Below are 5,089 nucleotides of genomic sequence, written 5' to 3'. Positions count from 1 at the left end.
TCAAGGGTGAGCCTGTTGATGCCTGAGTGTTTCCCATCTGAAAGACAAAACCGCCCACAGTTTTGGTTTGTTTGTTTCTCCCCCTGCCCAAGAACCCACAACAGTCCCAGGACCCTGCTGATCAGAATAGTCATGCTCGCCAACACAGCAGCAGAAATACCTTTTGCCCAAGAATCTGCAATGGTCCCCAGACACTGCTGATCGGAATAGTTGTGCTCACCAACACAGCAGCAGAAACACTAGTTTTCCTCCTAGACCACAAGGAGGACTGAGGAAGGTCAGATTTAGTGACCCTTACTGACACATCCTTGAAAACCTGCACCCTTGCCTGACCTCCTAGACCACAAGGAGGACTGAGGAAGGTTGAATTTAGTGGTTCTTACTGACACATCCTCAAAAACCTGCACCCTTGCCTGTCCTCCTAGACCACAAAGAGGAACGAAAAAAATCAGATTTAGTGGACCTTACCAACACATTCTTGAAAACCTGTTACAGTCCTGTTTTCCTGTTAGTGTTGAGACTTTATTTGTGTCCTATGTAGATGTTATGCCCCAAAAATGAAGTGGAGGGCCACACTCTGAGGGAGAGAAGGGATCTCCAGAGTTGGAAGAGTCATGCCTTTTGTCCTCACTTGTATGAATAGGAATGATACAATTTCTGAGGCTCCCCATATCTTAGCTTCAGGAATAGCTTTTATTAGGCCTGCTTGTCTGAGGAGGGATCCTAAAATTCCAGATTATCCCCCCTATGATGGGGCTTAGGGCAAAAATTATGTCTTTCTTATTGGTGAGCCCGGGTTCCTAAAGAAGGTAACAGAGTCCTGAAGTTTATACTAGAAATCATACTTACAGGAGAAACTAGAAAAGCACCAGAGACAGGGAGTGGTTTTTAGAAGCAGGACTAGCCTGAGAGAAGAGGAGAGAGGAAGTTTGTCTGACAGGAATTAGGACCCAGGAGGCAAGCATCAGGATAGATAGGATAGATGGGCAAGTGTCACTTGGGTGACATGACTGAGAGTTCCGCTCATGGCCTCAGGGTCAACCAACTTGTTATCAGGACCCCGGAGCTGAAGGGCTTTCCTCTCTGTCAACCCTTGGCTCAGCCCAGAAGTACAGGAAATGTGAAAGCTGGTTCCAGGCAAACCAATGCTCCCAACTCTGAAGAGTCGGGGGTTGTTAGAGAGCCCTTTCCCAGAAAGCCAGACACCCGTGTCTTCAGTCTGGCAGCCATGCTGGTTGCTTTTAACTGGCCAACAGGTGCCCGGTATTTAACCCCTGAATTCTAAGGAAAAATAGGACAGAATAGCAAATGAATAGGGTCTGATGGTACTCACCCCTTGGCGATAGGCGATAATCCCTTCATGGTTGCCAAAATGTGTCCAGAATTGGTTCCTTCCGGTGGGTTATTGGTCTTGCTGACTTCAAGAATGAAGCTGAGGACCCTCACGGTGAGTGTTACAGTTTTTAAAAGTGGTGTGTCCGGAGTTTGTTCCTTCAGATGTTCAGATGGGTCTGGAGTTTCTTCCTTCTGGTGGGTTCATGGTCTCGCTTGACTTCAGGAGTGAAGCCGCAGACCTTTGCAGTGTTACAGCTCTTAAAGGTGGCATGTCTGGAGTTGTTTCTTCCTTCTGGTGGGTTAGTGGTCTCACTGACTTTAGGAGTGAAGCTGCAGACCTTCGCAGTGAGTGTTACAGCTCATAAAGGTAGTGCGAACCCAAAGAGTGAGCAGCAGCAAGAATTATTGTGAAGAGTGAAAGAACAAATCTTCCACAGCATGGAAGGGGACCTGACCGGGTTGCCTCTGCTGGCTCCGGTGGCCAGCTTTTATTCCCTTATTTGGCCCCACCCATGTCCTGCTGATTGGTCTATTTTACAGAGCGCTGATTGGTCCATTTTACAGAGTGCTGTGCTGATTGCTGCATTTTTCCAGAGTGCTGATTGGTGCGTTTACAAACCTTTAGCTAGACACAGAGTGCTGATTGGTGCGTTTTTTACAGAGTGCTGATTGGTGTGTTTACAAACCTTTAGCTAGACACAGAGAGCTGATTGGTGCATTTTTACAGAGTGCTGATTAGTGCATTTACAAACTTTTACCTAGACACAGAGCACTGATTGGTGCATTTACAATCCTCTAGTTAGACAGAAAAGTTCTCCAAGTACCCACTCGACCTAGGAAATCCAGCTGGCTTCACTTCTCACTGAGATTGCGCCACTGTACTCCAGCCTGGGTGACACAGTGAGACTCCATCTCAAAAAAAGAAAAAAAAAAACCAAAACCATTGCTTAATAAATAATACCATCACCCCCCAAAGACACATTCTGAAAAGGTAAGAAGGCTGGTGGAAGACTTCAGTTCATATCTAGTCCTTAAAATCTTTGAGAATCAAGATTTCAGTCACCACTAGGCTATATCAATGTATAATCCATTCACCTAACTTAGCATTTGCATATAGCCGGAGCTTTCCTTCTCATTTATAAAATTATTTTGACTATAATTGTAAGTTATTATTATTATTATTAATATTGTGAGACAGGGTCTCACTCTGGCACCCAGGCTGGGGTGCAATGGTGTAATCATGGCTCACTGTTACCTCAACCACCGGGCTCAGGTGATCCTCCCACCTCAGCCTCTCAGGTAGCTGGGACATGGTGGCATGTGCCACCATGCCTGGCTAATTTTTTGTACTTTTTGTATTTTTTGTAGAGACAGGGTTTTGTCATGTTGCCCAGTCTGGTCTTGAACTCCTGGGCTCAAGTGATCTGCCTGCCTCAGCCTCCCAAAGTGCTGGGATTACAGCTTGAGCCACTGTGCCTGGCAAGTTTTGATTAATTGTAACATGGCAACATATTGACAAATCATTACTGATACAGACTTTTCAGTCTGCTAGATATTATGAATTGTAAGTGTAATGAAGCTGCATTTCATTGACAACAGCTGCATTTCATTAATGTCGTGTGACCCATGGGCAAATGAATCCACTGGTCATACGATGTCTCTCTTTTTTTTTTCCCCAAGACAGAGTCTTGCTCTGTCACCCAGGCTGGAGTGCAGTGGCATGATCTCAGCTCACTGCAACCTCTGCTTCCTGAGTTCAAGCAATGCTCCTGCCTCAGCTTCCTGAGTAGCTGGAATTACAAGCACCCGCCACCGTGCCTGGCTACTTTTTGTATTTTTAGTAGAGACAGGGTTTCACCGTGTTGGCCAGGTTTGTCTCAAACTCCTGACCTCGTGATCCGCCTGCCTCACCTCCCAAAGTGCTGGGATTACAGGAGTGAGCCACTGCGCCCAGCTGATGTCTGTTAAAGTAAGCTTGTGATACTTGAACCAGGGAACTGTGGCAATCAGGAAACTGTTGACCATGGACAACCAGTGAATATTTATCTAAGTACAGGCTAGAATCTGTACTTAAGTAAGTGGGTGATTAGTTGAAGGAATACAAATTGTAACCAAGTAAGAATGTTTTCTCAGAGCTCACAGTATAATTAGAATCAGAGTCAGATGAAAAAAGAAGGCATGGAATAGCCTCATTCATATAGGAAGTTATCCTAATTGCCAGTACTGATGTGGCAAGTTCTGACCAAGAGATTATGAATGATATCAATCAATAACTTGTAATGCTGACTTATAAAGGACATTGACGCTGGGCTCCGTGGCTCCCATCTGTAATCCCAGCTACTTGGGAGGCTGAGGCGAGGAATGAGTGCAGAGTGGGGCCTTGTGTGCAACCCTAGATCTTGCTCCTGGGAGCCCCTGGAGTGGTACTTTTAAAGAAAAAAGATGGGGTCTCACTTTAGCTGGGTGTGGTGCCTCACACCTATAGTCCCAGCTCCTCAAGAGGCTGAGGTAGAAGGATCACTTGAGCCCAGAAGTCCAAGACTTCAGTGAACTATGGTTGTGCACTGTACTCCAGCCAGGGTGACAAAGCAAGACTTCATCTCTTACAAAAAGAAAAAAAAAAAAAAAGAGGACATTGATGAGAATAAAAGTTCTGTGTGTTTATGCTGGCTCTCTAAAACATAAGAGATAAAATCCAAATGAACAAATACAATTAATTTTTAACAGATATAGCAGCTTGGAAGTTTAAAGAAATTCTAGTAAGAATTTAAAGAAACTCTTGTGAAAACTGGAAAACAAAAACATGTAAATAAAATATCTTGAGAAAATGAACATATAGTATTTACCAAATTTAATGCCTAAAAATTCAAAATCCTGAAATAGGATATAAGGGATATGTTTGTCAATAGTAAAAGACTGATGAATGCTAGTAAAATGTAAAAATATTCCATAAAACATCGACAGGAGTTTTTTCATCTTATTCCTTGTGTGAAGACATTTGGGAACCTTTTCCCAAGTATACTCCAGCTCAGCAGGCAGCTAACCCACTGAGGGCTGGTTTGTTTGTGAGGATGGAGACCTCAGACAGCAGGACTATGAAGGATGAACAGGTACATTTTGCAGCTAAATTTCAGAAGACCTGCTCAAGTATGTACGATAAAACCCTGCTTCATTTAATTTTCTGTCCCCTGACTTTTCCAGTGTGGGTTGCTTGGCTGATTATCTTCTCCCTATTTTTTTTTGTTTTATGGTCTCCAATAATCTTGCATTTCTCTTTGTTCTACCAAAATGCTGCCTGAATAAGCTCTGGGTCTTTCGCACAAGTATGGGCTGAACCTGTGCTATGTCTTGCCTATGGGGCCTTTTCTCTGCAGACCTCTTCCGTGTGGTGGTCCCCAGATTGAAGGGTACAGTCTGGCTTGCCACTGCACAAGGTCATCAGAGGGATTTAATCTCATTTTGTGCTCAGCCATCCTGGTGAGGCCAAAGGGGTCATGGGGCTCATTTTGCACCTTGGGTGCATATATGGGTTTTCCCTGGAAAAATGTATTGTTTCATCCACTATCATTGCAAAGTCACGTAAGCCAACATTTGTTGGGCACCAAGCATTCTGCTAAGTGCCCCACATGTGTTATCTTAATTTATTCCTATGAAGTAGGTGCCCTTATTATTCCCACCTTATAGACAGAGAAACTAAGTCTCAGGATGGTTGTTTTCCCAACCACTTAATAAGGTTTACCATTTAATAAGTGGC

General features: G+C 44.1%; 1 pseudogene, besides 1 other annotated feature; it reads right to left on the bottom strand.

Annotated features, from left to right (window-relative positions):
- Positions 1,400-2,599: an enhancer, noted in NCBI's record as "BRD4-independent group 4 enhancer chr17:30088656-30089855 (GRCh37/hg19 assembly coordinates)". NCBI's record gives its function as "activates an origin of replication core promoter dependent on BRD2, P300/CBP, MED14 and CDK7 cofactors, and independent of BRD4, by STARR-seq in HCT116 cells {active_cell/tissue: HCT116}" and the evidence as "EXISTENCE:reporter gene assay evidence [ECO:0000049][PMID:35650434]".
- Positions 3,292-4,410, bottom strand: GPR160P2 (GPR160 pseudogene 2; annotated as a pseudogene).

Source organism: Homo sapiens, chromosome 17 (assembly GCF_000001405.40).
Source record: "Homo sapiens chromosome 17, GRCh38.p14 Primary Assembly".
In the NCBI taxonomy this organism is placed as follows: domain Eukaryota; kingdom Metazoa; phylum Chordata; class Mammalia; order Primates; family Hominidae; genus Homo; species Homo sapiens.
This window is presented reverse-complemented; position numbering and strand designations above follow the sequence as displayed.